The following is a 17,711-nucleotide window of genomic DNA, read 5'->3' on the forward strand; positions in this document are numbered from 1 at the left end:
AATAGTGTCACATGAGGTGTCCTTACAAAAAATGACAACTATTTAAAGTTGAAGCATATAAAAATATTTAATCATATATGCTACTTTTAGCTCTGTGAAGTCTTGAAGGAGTTTATGCAGATAATGAATAAAATTTTTTCCTTGATATAAAATTTTCTAATTCTTCTCCTATTTTCTTTCTCTTTTTCTGAACCAATCAACTGGTTGTATTCATGATGTGTTGTTTGCTGAGGACTTTGCAAGGTGCTTTAAGACATATTTTAAGATGTCATAGTTTCTGGTTTTAGAAGAGCAATACAATACACCTGCTCTCCTCTTTCCACTCTCATTTGGCATTGAGTTCACTTCTTCTGTGCAGGGCTTTCTATTTTCTTCTATCTTCTGCCCGATTTTATTTCAGCTCTTTCTGAGTGAGCTGTGGAAGGAGATGGAACAATAACTTAATTTAATTTTCTTTTGAGAAATAGTGTTGTATATGGGAATACACCTTGGACTTGGCAGCAGATGTGAGTTCTAGGCTTCACTCTTTCACCTTTTACTAATGAGCCATTCATTGTTTAAAGAAATTTAACCTTTATTTCCTTCTCTATAAAATGAGGATACCATAGTGGCCTTACATAACCAACAGGATTTCCTTGGTGGGGGTGGGGAGGTCCATATGGGGCATGTGAGAAGCTGCTAGAAAATGTGAACTGTATTAGTGTTCTTTCCTTTGACCCTCTCTATTGTAGCACTGTCTTTGTTGGAGGAAATGGGACTTCAAGGACTGGAGGGTAGAAATTGGCAGTAACAAATGCTCAAGGAGAGAATGGGCTGCCAAACATCTTTGTGTTTTGGAAACAGGAACACAGGCATGTTTGGGGAGCATATGTGCATATGTGTGTGTGTGTGTGTGTGTGTGTGTGTGTGTGTGTGTGTGTGAGAGAGAGAGAGAGAGATTAGATCATGTCCTTTCCCTGCTCACAATCCCCCAGGGGCTTAACATAAAATTTAGCATAACATCTGATGTTCTTCCTATGGCTTTCAAGACCCTTTTCCTTGCTTCAAACTTATTTCCTTTCACACCTTTCTATTCCTACATCTTTGCTTTCTTACAAACACTCCAAGCCCATATCCTGCTCAGGAACTATGTATTTCTGTTTCTTTTCCTATAAGGCTCTCAATCCTGATAATTGCATGACTCCTACTCGCTCTTTATCCGGGTTTCTACTAAAAGGCCACTTCTTCTCAGAGGTCTTCCTTGATCATCTATTTAAAATAGTATTCTCTGTATCTCCTAGTCCCACAACTCCACTTTATTTTTTTCACCATACTTAATGCTACCTATCTTTGTTTTTTATATGCAATTTTAATTATGTGTACCCATCATGCCCCACTAGAATATAAACTCCAGGAAGGCAGGGGCTTTGCCTATTATATTTCCAGCTATCTGTTTAGTGACTAGCACATTATAGATTCTCAATAAATACTTATCGAAATAATAAATGACTGAGTAAATGAATAAACACAAGTATACATTCCATGAATTCTAAATAAAAATTGTAGCCAAGTCTATATCTGGGAATGTGTTATCTGTTGTAGATTAAACACCTGATCACAGTTAATAGCACTTAGCTTTTCTCACTTTTTATAGTAGCCCACTCTTTTGCTCTTACTTCAAAAGCTTGAATGGATCCTTTTAAGCCATTGCTTTGAAGGCATTTGTGTATTTTTCTAAAGATGTTTAATGAGTTGGAAATAACCATGCATGAAGCACTCTTAGTGTAACCTTTACAAAGTTAGCTTTTGCAATTTAGAATTCTTGTGAGATAACTTGCTGGAGGAAAGTGTATTCATTTCTATTAGATTGTTTCTGTCTCAGATGATTTCGAAGCTACTTTACAAGTAATTTAAAATATGAGGTTGTAGCAAAGTGAAGAGACACAGACCCTGGAAGACAGAAATCCAAACCGGGCTCATATGGAACTCTATGGACAGTTTTGCTGGCAACATCAGCAGGAGGCAGTTCAAGGCAGCTCTGGCTAAATGTGCAAACCAGTGGCTTGGCTGCTGGCACAGCTGCTTAGGTTGAGGAAAGCAAAACTAATTATAATTAGTGAGATTTCAAATTTTAATGTCCTAAACACTTATGAGGGTAGCTGCCCTATAAGCAGAGAAAAAAATAGAGAAAATAGGGAATTACAGAGACCTTAGCACAGTGTGTTAACTCTGACTTTGCTACCACAGCGGTGCTGAGTTTTGTATTACTGCAGTAATTTTTAGCTATAGGATGTGGCAAAGTGCTGAGATGCAAGGGTGAGGAACAAAGGAGATAAGTTTGTAATTCTTTAGTAGGTAGAGACTGAGTGTTCATAAAAATGCAGTTAAACAGATGCAACTGTGTTTGTTCCTTAGTTAAAAGTAAAACTATAGCACTGGCATCTGGAGCTTTTATAAAGGGTGAAATCACCTTCAAAATTATATTAAAATAGTGTGCAGAGTAAAAGCAGATGTATCATGCAAATAAATTTCTTTGTAATCTCTTTTACCATCTTCTTATAATTGACAAGTACAGTTTTCTCTCAGGTTTGGCTAGGAAAACATTTTACCCTAATTTTCTTTATTTCCTTATTTTAAAAAGGACAAAAAACTTGAAAAGGAACATTGGCCTGATACGCTAGGAAGTTACTTGCTGAGCACTGGTATGACAATGGAGAGCTTTGCTGTGAGCCAGTCAGGTGCTGCCTGTGGAGATGTTTTTGTTTGCAGCATTTTCACACATATTTATTCAATAAAGCTTTTGTTTTACTGACATTGGAAAACAGCATACTGCATTATGCTGTGATTTTGAAGTGACAGTGCCAGTGGGACTAGGCTAAAAGATTTGAAGTGAATTGAGGCTGAAAACTAAAGCTTTGTTTTTGTTTAGTTAAGAAGGAAAGTTAAATTTAAGACTTTTTTTTCAACTCCTGCTCCCATCACTGGAAAAACAATAACAGCAAAAACAGCAAGAACGATAATAAGAACAACAACCAAACCAAACCTGTGACATCCTTGCACTATTATTAGTGCGAGAATGTCATTCCAAATATATTTCTCTATATTTCTGGGGGGAAATACAATTGTTACAATTTCTTCTTATGATAGGCAATACATATTTAATACTCATTAAGTAATACAACTTTAGTTATAACTTGGCCTTCTGAAAAGTGTCTGTTTAGGATAAAATGATACTGTATTCGTCTGTTTTCGCACTGCTATAAAGAAATACCCAAGACTGGGTAATTTATAAAGGAAAGAGGTTTAATTGACTCACAGATCTGCATGGCTGAGGAGGTCTCAGGAAACTTACAGTCATGGTGGAAGGGGAAGCAGGCATGTCTTACAGGGTGGCAGGTGAGAAAGAGCCCGGGAAGGAGGAAACCATCAGATCTTGTGAGAACTCACTATCGTGAGAACAGCATGAGGGAACACCCCCTTCCAACCATGATCCAATGACCTCCCACTAGGTTCCTCCCTCAGCATGTGGGGATTATGGAGATTACAATTAGAGCTGAGATTTGGGTGGGGACACAGAGGTAAACCGTATCAGATACATATTAGTGAAAACTGTGTCTGTTATCAGGGTTCCTGCAAAAAATGCAAATCATAATAGATTTCTTTCTCACAGATGAATTTGATACTTAAAACTTAGATGTTGAAAGAGTATGATGACAAACCAATTGTCGTGCAAATGTGCTCTATCTCTGCCCCCAGTGTTCTGATTGACTTTGGTATTCCAGGGAACCTCTTCAGGCCTTTAATTTCTTCATCTAATAGAATGATGTCAATTGCAATATTTCTTGTGTGTTCTAACACCTCCATAATCACTTTGTTTCAGATAATATGTAATGAAATTTTGTTTCTCATGTTTTATTTTTGTGCAAATAGACTATAACCTGAAAGTTATTATTCAGTAAATTTGAGTGAAAACATTACTGACTTTTGTATTCATGGAAGGATGAATGAAAGTAGTTTTAACAATGCTTCCATAGTTCTGTGTTTTTCTATCATAACACTCATGTTATCTGCTGATCATTTTATATGCCGTTGTCCTTCTCTAAATTCTACTGATTGCTTCTATTAACAATATGTTAAAGTTTCTTCAATCTTTATAAATAATTGACACACAATAATCATCATCTTCTTTCACTATTTCCTTTCAAATCCAAGAGTAATATTTCATAGTGCTGCTTCACTTACCTTTCATATTTTTCTAATTATTAATCAATAGTCACTATTCATTTTCCAAAAATACTTCTTAATGGCATTTGACCTTGTCAACTATAACCTCCTACCTTCTTGAAATTTGTTCTCCATCATTTCATTCTCAGTATTCTTTGTTGGCTCCTCATCTTCCACTAAACATAAGACTTCAGTGTTTTAAGGAGTTGAGGCTGGTCCTATATGCTTTCTCCCAGGCTTCTCATTCATACACTTGAGTTCCGTAACTATCAGGTAACTTATATGGCCCAAATCATTACCTGTAATCAAATCATTGCTCCTAAGTCGTATCTGTCTTCTAGTCAACTCTACTCAGACCCCACACTGGCACTTCAGTCTTAACGTGTTTAAAACAGAACCCATAGTATCTCTTCCCCAACTTTGCAAGTTAGATATCTATAAGCTTCTCAAACTTTTATCTCCATATTACATGCCTAACCAAGTCACTAGCTGCTACTCTATTTCAACTCTTAGAATTTACCCTTTTCCCTCTCTTAACTTATTGATATTGCTTTAGTGTAGACTGATCACTCCTCACTGGAACTATTATATGGGCGTTTAATCAGGTTTCTGTATACAGTATTTCTCCTTTTATCTATTTATCACAATGCAGTGGGAGAAATTATTAAAAACTACAGATCTGATCATGTATTTTCTCTACTTAACTAAAACCTTTTAATGTTTCCTGTTACCTTCCAGGTAAGTCCAAAAAACAGGTCATGAAAGATCTTTTTCTCTCCCTACCTACTTTTCTAAATTTATCTATTGAACTTCCCCCACCTGCCCACAGAAGCATCACTGCAAGCCTACACAATATTTATAATTCTCTAGTCAGTAGGCATCCTGTTTTAGATCTCTATCCCTACACTGTTTCCTTTACCTTTAGTATTCTTCATCCATGATCAGCCCAATTAACTCCTATTCATCCTGCAAGCCCCAACTACATGAATCTTTTAATAATACTCCCATAAGCACAAATCATTGTTTTTTTCTTTGCATTTCCAGTGCGTGTTCCATGCTACCTTGTTTAGAACTTGTTTATCTTCTGTTATCAAACATCTTTTATTTCTGCCTCAATCCTTAGTGCCAAATACTGTTCCTGATAAACAGTAGCTATTCAATACATGTTGGGTAATCAACGTACCACAGAAGCATTCCAGCAAATAGTTGAGAAGTATGATTATTAATGCCACAATGTTTGCTGAGGATTTTGTGATCTTACCTTGTGGCCCTTTCTTCCTATAAAAACAATCTTTGAAGAAAATCAAATAGAAATAGATTGGTATTAAAATCCTGAGGGATGGCCGGACGCAGTGGCTCACGCTTGTAATCCCAGCACTTTGGGAGGCTGAGGCGGGCAGATTACGAGGTCAGGAGTGCAAGACCAGCCTGACCAACACGGTGAAACCCTGTCTCTACTAAAAATACAAAAAAATTGCCAGGCATGGTGGCGTACACCTGTAATCCCAGCTACTCAGGAGGCTGAGGCAGGAGAATTGTTTGAACCCGGAAGGCAGAGGTTGCAGTGAGCCGAGATCATGTCACTGCACTCCAGCCTGGGCGATGGAATGAGACTCCGTCTCAAAAAAAAAAAAAAAAGTCCCGAGGGATTACGTGGCTGTTGATGGGAAAAGATCAAGAGGAGGAAGCTGGAGTATTTTGGGTACTTCTAAAGGGGAGATGGAGACCATCTGGAGAGGAGGATGCTCAGGAGTGAGTGCCAGGACAGAGATAAAAGTGAATGGAAAGGAAATGGTGGCTGAACAACATCAAAGAGGCATCCCTACTGCAAAACTGAGCAAATAACTGTGTACTTGCTCTGGCAGAGATACAAGTAGGTGGCATTGGATAATCTATTCTGATGGGTATGACAAGGACTAAACAAAGAGGTCATAATTTGATATAAGACAGCTTCCTTCAGTGTAGCAGGGCTTATGTGCTTAGGAAAAGGTAACATAAACCAACAGGTTATTTTCTGAGTTTCAGTTTTTCTTTATGTGCAAACGTATTGAAGTTTGAGTTTCCTAGCTTAAAAAACACTAACAAACTATTAATGTAAAATAGCCCTCCCTGATTAACAAGTTTCACTCTTTACTTTTTCAGAAAGATCTGTCTAACTAATACAAGGACACCAAGAGCATTATCTAGGTGATATTTCCCCCTTTCTGAAAGCAATCATTTTTGTCTTCTGCCACAGATTTTTCTTAGCAAAGCTCAGGTAGACCTGCGTGTGGACAGGAAATTCATGTGATCAAAACAAGATACTGTATCTGTTTGGCTCAGGGAAAAAAAAAACATACATACAAACATGCTCTTCAACCATTTGTTTATAATTAATTGCTAATGATAAGTTGAAAGCTTTGAGAGCAACAGGAAGTGTAAATAATATAGGAAGAAAAAAGAAAAGAATAGTGTTAATAATAACAGTTGCAGATGGTTAGAGTTTTCCTTGGAAAAGTATTGGTTTAAATTTCTGTTAAATCTTGCCAGATTTCGGGAGATTGTTTGATCTTAAGTAGAACATGTTGCCACTATTTCAATGATAGAAAATGCTGCTGAAACATTTGCAAAATAAAGATCAATACGCTGGAAATGTATGAGCTTATATGTTTAGGTGATAAATCCCTAAGTGCCATAAAGAAGTTACTTTTGTGTGGCTACATTTTCAGAAAATTAAGTTGCATCCTTCAAAGTATTCATACAACATCCATGGTTTAAACTGTAAATCTTCTTGGATGGAATAAGCCTTAGGAATAAAGATTTTCAAAATGCATGTAGACATGTATATTTTCTCTTACATACCTGCAACTAATTCTTTCCCTTATTCTTTTCTTTTCTTTTTTTTTTTTTTTTGGAGACAGAGTCTTGCTCTGTCACCCAGGCTGGAGTGCAGTGGTGCGATCTCGGCTCACTGCAACCTCCGCCTCCCAGGTTCACGCCATCCTCCTGCCTCAGCCTCCCGAGTAGCTGGGACTACAGGCGCACACTGCCACGCCTGGCTAATTTTTTGTATTTTTAGTAGAGACGGGGTTTCACTGTGTTAGCCCGGATGGTCTTGATCTCCTGACCTTGTGATCTGCCCACCTCACCCTCCCAAAGTGCTGGGATTACAGGCATGAGCCACCACACCCGGCCTTTTCCCCTTATTCTTTAAACAATAAAAACAAAACCACAAAATGCAAGTCAGTAATTAATATTGGTAGTGATCTAGATAATGAGAGTTTTTTAGTATAGTTACAAACGAAATATTTGAGTATGCTCTGTAGATGCTTCGTTGGTTTATAGCTTGTTGTTTCACATAATTGTGAAATAGTGAAACATTTATCATTGTGTTAAAGTTAGAGCTATTTGGCTATTTAAGAAATTTTAGAAAATGATGAAATAACTGTCTCATTCCAACTTGAGAAGCAGTTACTCAATGAGAATATGATACTGAAACCAATGAAAGTTAATGTGTGAGTGGTGAGATAACAAAAAAAAAGAAAAAGAAAAAACACAAGCCGAACAACAACAAAATATTATCCAATAATGTTTTAGCTACCAATATAGATTTTTCTATTGATATGAGTAGAGGGTGGGCATTTAAAGTCACTTTCACTTTCAGATCAATCCTATTTTGGTTTATTTCCAAATCCAAATAAAAACAATAAGGTTCACCTATTGGCCAGTGATTTATTAAAGAATCTGACGATGTATCTAGAACAACTTAGAAGGCTGTTTTATAGGGAGTTATTCTAAAGAAATTATTTGGAAGTTGTCCGTCTTGAATTTACAGCCAAAATTTTTATTCCCTTTGTGATCTAAGTGGAATAGATCCATCTTCTGCTCCAATTACTGGTCAATATGTCAGTCAGATCAAATGCCACTAATAAGATGCTAAAAAGTGCTTTTGAGGAACATAGGGATTTCTTTAATAAGGCGTGAAGTATTTTTTAATCCGTTTCTTCCTTGTTAAAAGCCTATGATTCTCACAGATTGTTCTGTCATGATGTGGTTTTGATCCTTTATGAGAAGGAAAAACACATGGTGGAATTCTGAAATATAAAGTTAAAAATTGAGTCCAGGTAGCCTCCTCAATAGCAGCCCTACTTGAAATCTTGCGTAATAACACGATCCCTTCTGGAAGTACTGTGACGAGCAAAATGGGGAAGATTTTTAAGGAAGCCTGTGAAAATATGTGGAAAACTCTTTTCTTTATGAATTAAATTTTCAGTACTTGCTTTTGACTTATAAAGAATTAGGTTTCTCATATTCTGAATAAAGTCCACAAACTCCAGAATACCAAACCAATGAGTAATCATGGGAACTCTATAAAAAAACAAAGATAATGTTGCCCTGGAGAAGAAACTGCCTTTTTTAAAAAAATTTATTTAATGTGAAATATCATTGCTTCAGGGCATAAAAGCAAAATGACCAATCTCTGAATATTTCCAGTTCCCTCATTTATCTCATTATTTATCAGTCTTTCTTCCCATCTGAGCACAGCAATTAAAATAAATTTAATTCCATCATAGCTAAATGGAATAGGTACAACAGTGAGAAACATCCTAAGAGCAATAGCAAGGGATAGAGATAGGTAGTGGGTGGTGACAAGATCATAGCCATCTGCCCGCTGCATGGAAAATGAATTGGAGAAGGGTTGGGGTGGGGGGGTGAAACTAGAACAGATAATGTACTATCACGGGCCTCTACATGTGGCACAGTGGTGGCTTGGATTAGGGTGGTAGAATTGGTGATAGAATTGAAATTGAAAAATACTTCATGAGTAAAGGTGTAAGGCATTATGTTGGGTTGGATATAGGGCCGGAAGTCATGAGCATTGCTTTATATTCTTCAGTAGATGGGAGATAATACTGGAAGCAGGTCAGGTTGGAGTGAAGAAGATATAGGGATAATAATAACAAGCTGGTTTGGGACATTTGGAGCATACTAAATCTTTTTCTCCTTTCTGTTCCATATTCCATCCACATTGTCATGTCCCCATAAAAGGTAAATAAAGAACCACCGAGGGTGTGACCCATATCACTCTATTTAATCTCAGACTGGCAGAAATATTAAAATTATATTTCCTTTATGTGTGTATGTGTCTATAACACACAGATAGACACACCTAGCTATGTACATCCCTATTCTGTCTGTGTAGCATCATGATGAAAACAAAACAAAACAAAATTCCGTATTTCTCAACATCCCATCACTGTTATGTTAAAGCATTGAAAAATTTCATCGTGGTGCTTTTCTCAATTAATATTTATAGAGTTGATTTTATGACTCTCTCAACAAAGTGACCAAAATATTAGTTATATTTACAATAGTTATAAATAAGTGCTTAGATCCAAAATCACACAGGAAAAGTCTTTGTCTTATTTTGTGTCATATTCTCCTTCCTCCTTGTCATTAAATAAAAATCTCAATAACTGTCATTTAACTAATGGTTTATATAGGGAGCCTTCTTCTTAGAATTGCCAATAGTCAAATAGATCTTGATAGCACTTAATTTTGAGTATTTGGGTGCAAGAAGTTCCACAAATGGCTTTTCTACTCATATTTTTAAGGGTTTCCTTCTCTCTTCCAGAGACTGTTTCTTCTGCGTGAACTGTAAAAGGACCTCTTATGCTTTATCTTCAAGCCCAGCAATGAATGTAAGGTTCAGAAAATTTGACAGATATCCCCCTCCACGACTTATCTTTTAAATGAAAAATAAATTTAAGAGCAATACCAAATGATTTTGACCAAGTTTGGAAAAAAATGTACTTGTTTAGATCTGTCTTTGCTGGCAAAATGATGGAAATTTGTGGTAAATATTTGAATACCATTAAGAAAACCTAATTTGAAGATTCAGGCTCTCATTGTCTACTATATGATGTGCCTGCTCCTTGGCAGAGCATTTAAAGTGTTCCATAGCATACCACCAGGCTACTCTTCTATCTTTATCCTTGTCCATGAGACAAATGAAACTGCTTGTCATTCTCTACTTTTCCTAATTATGTTCTCTAGACCTGAAATCTTTTGCTGTCTTACCAGATCACTTTCTTTCTCACCTTTCGTTCAAAACTCTCGTATTCAACACTCTCCAAATTTTGATGACTTTTCTTTCAAGGCCTGTCTCAAATGCTATTTCCACCATAACAGTGTTTTGCTATTTTTCTTAAGGCATTTTTCATAATTTGCTACTTTAACTTTGTAAAACTCATGCTTATTCCTGTATTTGTTACTCTGCTTATTGTAGTGACTTGCACATGTCATGCAATCAGTAAATATTTTTTGAATTAAGTTGAATCACCCCTGCTGACAACTCCTATTTACGTAAGACATTGGGAAATTATTCAAATCACAGAATCATCTTGTTTGCATCGACAAAGGTAGTCTACCGGGCTCTCTCCATTATATTGCCTCATTAGGCCTCATTCACCAAACATGAGTTGAACACCTACTAATTGCAGCATGCTGTGTTGCTCTGTCCTGTAAACAGGACCACGTATAATTACATAATCATACATCAGGAAAAATATATAATTATGTGCATCTCACATATTCAAAATAACTTTCTAAAATAAAATAATTAGACTAACTTGATATCAATTAAATCTTGTCCAAATAAAGACTGAATATTCAGCTTTGTTCAATCTCTTGTGAATGCTGATAAAGAGAGTCAATCTTTCCACTTGAGAAAAACAATTATCACATATCTAACCCAGGCACTCATTTATTCAATAATTTTCTCTACCAAAATTCATACGTAAAGAAAAATGTGTTTCATCTCAGCACCTTGGTTGGTTTTCAAAGACGCTTATTAGGATTTGGTTTCACAGTCTCTGATTTTAGATAGGTCTCTTAGGATTGGTTATAAGAGCTGAAGCCTCGGAGGCAGCAAACAATTGTGGAAAATCTGTGAAGTAATGTTGTCCTTGCAACATTTTCCGGCCTACTTTTCAGGACCCATGGGATTCAGATAAGCACTAAGTGTGTGTCCAAAAAAAACCACTGAGGTTTTTAAGCCACTGTCCATCCTTAGTATAACTTTTTCATGAAAAATTAACTTAATAGAATACACTCTTTTTCCATGATTAAAAAACTTAAGAGATCAGGGACTACCTGGGCATGTGTGATCTGACAATTCACTGTTTTAATTTAAAATGTCCAGGCAGTATTGCATTCATAAAATGACCGCACTGATATGTAAGCCAAAAAGCATAAGAAGTGCATTATGGGTAAGAAGTTTATTTTTGTTATTCTTTTGAAATCTTCAGCTGGTATTAAAAACAGATCTTTTGAGCTAGAACAACAGTCGTACAGGTAGACTTCCTACTTTTGGAAAAGATCTGGTCTTTAGCTTATGGGAACCGAGCCGAAGCAGATGTGAAAAGTTCAACTAAAGGAAGAACAGATTAAATGCACTTTTGTGGTTGAAAAACCAAAACAGATGTTATTATTAAACCACAGAAACCTGGGTGCATTTAAGTAACACTAGGTGTCTGAATTTTACATTTGTATTTAAAATAATTAAGGCATTTTAAAGCCACAGAGGCTATTGTGTGCTATCAAACTCTTAATGTTCAAATCAAAAAGTTTGCATATTAAAAAACTCTCAGAAATATTGAGTGTCTGCCATTGTGTTTGTCATCATCTGAAAATGAGAAAGAAAGCATCTGACAATTAAAAACAAAACCTTTTGGTGATGTTTACATTATTTTTCAAAAGCATTTTGAAACCATTCATTTGTGTACTTTTGTTTTTTACATCTTTAGATAGCAAGCAACCCTGAAATGTCTAGATTACTGTTTTTACAATGTAAATCTTAGAGAGATTAAGTCACAGAACAGAATTAAGATGTTGCCAATATATGAATTCACAGGCCGTTGTTCCACTAACTGGAATACTTCCCTACTCATGACAGCCTCTACCATGGGATACAAAATGGTGTGGGAAAGCAAATACAAATCAAAATTGTCCCACACATTCATGCCTACACTTTGATATTTAATTTTGAATTTCTCCATAAATTTTGTTCTAATATGCCCTCTCTCTACTTCAATCCAAAGAGGTTAAAAGTCCAAATCAAAAGCTGTTGTCCTGTGAAAAATCCTGTACTAGAGAAAAGCCAACAGAGAGAGAGGGGGGGTGGAAAAAGGAAAGGTAATAGTGATTCATTTCATAGTTAGATGCCCTCAATCATTAATCTAGATATGTTCTACACACTGGGCCAAAAGGGATGCATTTAGATAAAATGGACCTTAAGGATGTAATCTTTTACCTCTATTTGGAAAAATAAGTGTTGCATAATGTGGGATGATTTATGAAAGAGCTGGGAGGATGCCAAGCTTCTATATTATGTAGTCTTTGAGTATTGGAAGTGGAAGAATTTTTATTAATTATCCATTCCCATTGGAAGAATTCTCTTTTCCACTCTGGATCTCAAATTAGGAAGGAAATGAGGGTGACTTATAAATTGTTTTGGATTTTTTTTTTTTTCAAATCACACATGCTTTTTATCTCTACATGCTCTTTTAGAAAGTTCTCTGAGATGATCCTGACTCCCACCCCTGGTTCTCGCATTCTGCCACCCCCTCCTTGAGAATCCCAGCTTTTTAACATTCAAGGTGGGACTGACTACTTCTTCAGCTGATCACTCTAAGCTATTAATGATATGGCCAGACTGCTACAACCCCCATAATTTATACAAGACTTTGTATCATCATTTTGGTTACATGTTGAACTCATAATATTTTAGATAAAATTTTGTTAATTAAATGTGCTCTCATAATTTCATGTTTCTTTTACATTTTAAAAATGTGACTACTAGAAAATTTAAAATGACTTATTTGGCTTACATTTGTGGCTTGTATTATATTTCTGTTGGACACCTCTGCTGTATCTGGTAAAGAAAAGGATAGTGAGAGAAATATGTGACTTCTAGGGGAAAATGATATAATGCATCACTTTACTCTGAGCCACACTCCACCATTGGTGGCAACAGTTTTTAATATGTGTGGAAAGCATTTAAAAACAAGTTAGGTAGTTAGCAATTCTTGGAAGAAATAATGGACAAGATCCCAGAGCAAGCATCTTTCAGTTGATCGGGCTAATCGTGATGGAGAGGAGAGATGGCAGTTCAGCAGGGATGCTGTGAGGGGAAGCCCCTGCCGGGCATCAGCACTGTGTGTAGGGACTAGTTACCTATGGATGGAGTAAGCTGCACCCCCCAAGGAAGGTGCATTCTAGTTAAGACTTAGATGTGGATAATCCAGTGTATGGAGTTCTTTTGAGAAACTGTAAAAGGGAGAAACAAGAATACAGGGGAGAGGTGAAACTTTCTAACAATTAGAAATCATTTATTAATGTTTAAATTTCATAAATATCCATTTAACCTCTTTTGAGGTCTATTTAAGCCTTTTTCTAGTCTGGGGAGGGAACAAGAGGGAAAATAAAAACTTCTCTCTATATCCATGATGTTTGCATTTAAAGAAAATAGAAAGATGGTAACAAGCAGACAAATTATGTCAGGTTTTTTTTTGTTTGTTTGTTTTGTTTTTGTAAAGAAAATAGAACAAAAAGATAAAGAGTGAGGGCATGTTGATTTGGAAAAGGTGGTTAGGAACCCCTTTTTGAGGCAGTGACCGTTAAGCACAGACCTGATGGAAGTGATAGAACAAATCAAGCAGATAACTGTGGAAGATATTCCTGGCAGGAGAGCAGCCACTCAAAGCCCCTGAAGCAGGAAACTGCCCTGAGTGTGTTTGAGGAATAACAAGGGACCAGTGATGCTATAGAGCAGTGAGTGACTGAGAGAGTGCCAGGAGGTGAGACTGCAGAGAGAATTGGGAATCTGACTTATCCTTGGAGAGATCGGGTCTCCAAGGATAAGCGATGGCCAGCCTCTGTAGGGCTTTGAGCATAGTACTGATATTATCTGGCTATGTTTGAAAGGATCCCTCTGACATTTAAGTGGAAACACAGATTCTAGGGAAGCAAGGGGGAAGAAGCACTGGTGAGGAAGCTGTTTGAATAGGCTCGGTGAAAGCTGGTCATAGTTTAGAGGGCTAGGAGTGGAGGTGGTTAGAAGTGGTTAAATTTAAAATAAAGGCGTTTCCGACTTACCATTGTTTGACTTACAATTTGCAAACTTTACGATGGTATAAAAGTGATACACATTCAGTAGAAACAGTATTTTTGAATTTTGATCTTCTCCCAGGCTAGAGAATGCAGTACTACACTCTCTTGCAAACCCACAGTTCCCAGTAAGCCATGTGATCACCAGGGGAAACAACTGATACTCTATAATGTGGAGATGCTCCTCAACTTACAATGGGGTTACATCCCAATAAACCCATCCTAAGTTGAAAATATCATAAGTTGAAAATGCATTTGATAAACCTAACCTACCGAGCATCACAGCTTAGCCTAGCCTACCTTAAATGTGCTCAGAACACTTATATTAGCCTATAGTTGGGCAAAACCATCAGGCAACACAGTGCACTCTAGAGTATCTGTTATTTACCCTAGTGGCCACATGGCTAGGAGCTGTGGCTCCCTGTTGCTGCCCAGCATCATGACAGAGTATTGCACTGAATTTTGCTAGTCTTGAAAAAGGTCAAAATTCAAAATTTAAAGTTCAGTTTCTGTTGAATGCCTATTGCTTTTGTACCACCATAATGTTGAAAAACCATTATAAGTCATGTACCATCTCTACTGCCAGATGATTTTTCCCAACTATAGGCTAATGTAAGTGTTCTGAGCACTTTTAAGGTAGGTTAGGCTAAGCTATGATAGTTTAGGTATACTAGGTACATTGTTGACTTACAATATTTTCAACTTAAGATGGATATCAAGACATAACCCCACTGTAAGTCAAGGAGCATCTGTATTTCATGAATTTGAGCCAAAGGCTTTTCTTGATGGGTTGCATTTATAGACGAGGGAATGAAAATAATCAAGAATAAACCCCAAATTTGGGCCTCTATAGCTATAAAAATGGAATCACCATTTATAAAGACAGAGAAATATGTAATAGATAGTAATAAACCAAAGATGCATATTGTAAATCACAGGATATTTGCTAAAGGGATAGCTAAAGAATGAATAGCTAAGAAGTTAATAAAGGAGAATACCAAACGATGAAAAATATTTGATTAATCAAAAAGAAAAAGCAAAAATGAGAAAAAGTCTAAAACAGGTGGATTAAATACAATAGAAAACAATATGGTACAGACTTAAATCCAAATATATGCAATTCCTTTAAATGGACAAAATATTCCATTTTAAAAATCTAAGCTGACAGAATGACTTCAAAATATAAATTGAGAAGGAAACTGTGGAGTAGGAACAGGTATAGATGAATGAAAACGAGTGTTCAGTTTGGAATGTATCAAGTGGAGAGGATTCCTTGACTGTGGAATATTGAATTCTGGAGTTCAAGAGAGAGGTCAAGGTTAAAAATGTCAATTTGAATCCCCAGAATTTTTGAACAGTTAAGAGTCAGCCTCTCGAATTTGTGTTTAGATAAACAGTGACTAGGTGACAAGTTAAATAACTATTTGGAAGACATGTTTCAAAACATTACTATTACTCGTATTAGCAAACTTGTCCAATTTCTTTCATTTTAAGATTCTATAAACGATCAAACAAGTATTTCACTGAGAGAGAATTCAGACCAGTTGGTGACTCCAGTTGTTGCCAAATTTGTAGTCTACCATTATAAGATGAGTCCATGATCCTTCCCGGTGAACTATCTCATTTCTTCAGAATAAAAATTTCTTTATTTTGTTTCATCTAAATCATATGAAACAACTCTAAAGCCTATTAGCCTTCAGCTCCTTTCAAGGGGCTCCAAATTGCCCTCAGACTCATTCATTTACTTTACTAAATGCCACTGAGACAGTCACTGATAAATTTTATTTTGTTAAGATTTTACTTTTGTTAAAAATATTTTAAGAGTTTTAAATATATATTATATATAAATATATAGTGTGTGTTTGTGTGTGAATAAACAAGGGGATTCAAATTTTTTAATCCCTGCCTTTTGTTTCTTCCTGATCACTATCTTTCTAAATGTATCATTAAAAGTAAAATGCGAAAATATTTTTCTACTGTGAAGTTGTTTTTGATTAGCATATGGATTATTATTATTATTCTAACATAGAGTTCTCACCACTATAGCTCTTGCTTTTTAATTCATATCCAACAGGTAGTCTTTTTTAAAAAACTTATTTAGGTATTTGCCCCTCTGAATGAACTAATATTTCAGACATAATTCTGCAACTTTTTACTTGACTCTATTAAATGTCATCTTCATTTGCAGCCACAATTCTAGATTCTCGAGATGTTTGTATATTAACTCTATATTCTGAAGCAATAGCTCTCTTTTAAGCTTTATGTTATGAAAAATAAATATGCTTCCTTCTGCATCTCTTAATCCAAGCCATTTACAAAAACTCTGTGCAGAAATGAGAGAACGGAAGCCCACATCATACCATATCAAGTATGCTTCTTCTCTAGTACACATTGATCAAATGTCTCTAGGTGCATTTCATTGGAGACACATTTATCTTACATGAATCACATCATGTATTCTCTGCAAATAGGAGCTGGAGAATTGAGAGAGGTAGAGAATAGGAGAGGACACTGTAAATAATAGAGGCTATTCTTCCCTACATTCTATTCAATTGATGCTTACCTTGTGATTTGGTTCTCATGAAATTACTATTTTTATATCGTTCTTAGTTTGATCATTTTGTCAAGCTGAGTGTGATTTTAGTTAAAATTTTTTTTGATATGCAATATAGCTCATAAACATGAGCCAAACTTCTTCATATAATGCTCAATCATAGAAAAAATGATTAGTTTCATAGCTGGAGGAAAAACTGCCTGTATTGTTCTTATTGGGACACATTAAAAACAATTTCAAGGGCAATTTTGACTGCACATTACTACTATGCTACAAATAAGATATGAAACCTTTAAGATATGACTCGTCTTAACTGTCCCATAATTTAACCTACAATCTCTATCTTATCAATAAAGATAGGATGTGTAATTTCTGATGGGAATCAAGAAGTATTATTTTGCTTTTTCTTAATCTCCCAAACTAGAAACATTCCTTTAAAATGAAGTTAGTGAAATGTTACTTGTTATCTGTAGTAACAGATAGCCTATCCTTTTCTATTTCTATGTGATCACAAATTTTATTTTGTAACCCATCTATCTTTTAATATATTCTAGAATTCCCTTAACATTGTGTAGATTTTCCCATGTTCAGATATTCTGGCTTGAATTCAGGGGGCAATAATAGATACTCCTTAAGTGTGGTTTTAGTTCTTATCCTGCAAAGTGCTTAGCACCAGTCTTTCCAATTTCTGCTCCTGCAGCTTCTCCTCTTCATAAACCAAATTTCATAGTGCCTTCAAGGTCCAGGCAAAGATTCAGCATTTTCATAACGTTTTCTCTGAATAGTAATGCCCTATGGTAAGAAT

The 17,711-nt window shown here is 35.9% G+C and overlaps 1 long non-coding RNA gene across 1 annotated transcript in view; it reads left to right on the forward strand.

Annotated features, from left to right (window-relative positions):
* Nucleotides 1-17,711, forward strand: part of TEX41 (testis expressed 41) — a 408,763-nt gene that overhangs the window by 320,117 nt on the left and 70,935 nt on the right. The window lies entirely within an intron of this gene.

The sequence above is a fragment of the Homo sapiens genome, chromosome 2 (genome assembly GCF_000001405.40).
Source record: "Homo sapiens chromosome 2, GRCh38.p14 Primary Assembly".
Taxonomy (NCBI): Eukaryota; Metazoa; Chordata; class Mammalia; order Primates; family Hominidae; genus Homo; species Homo sapiens.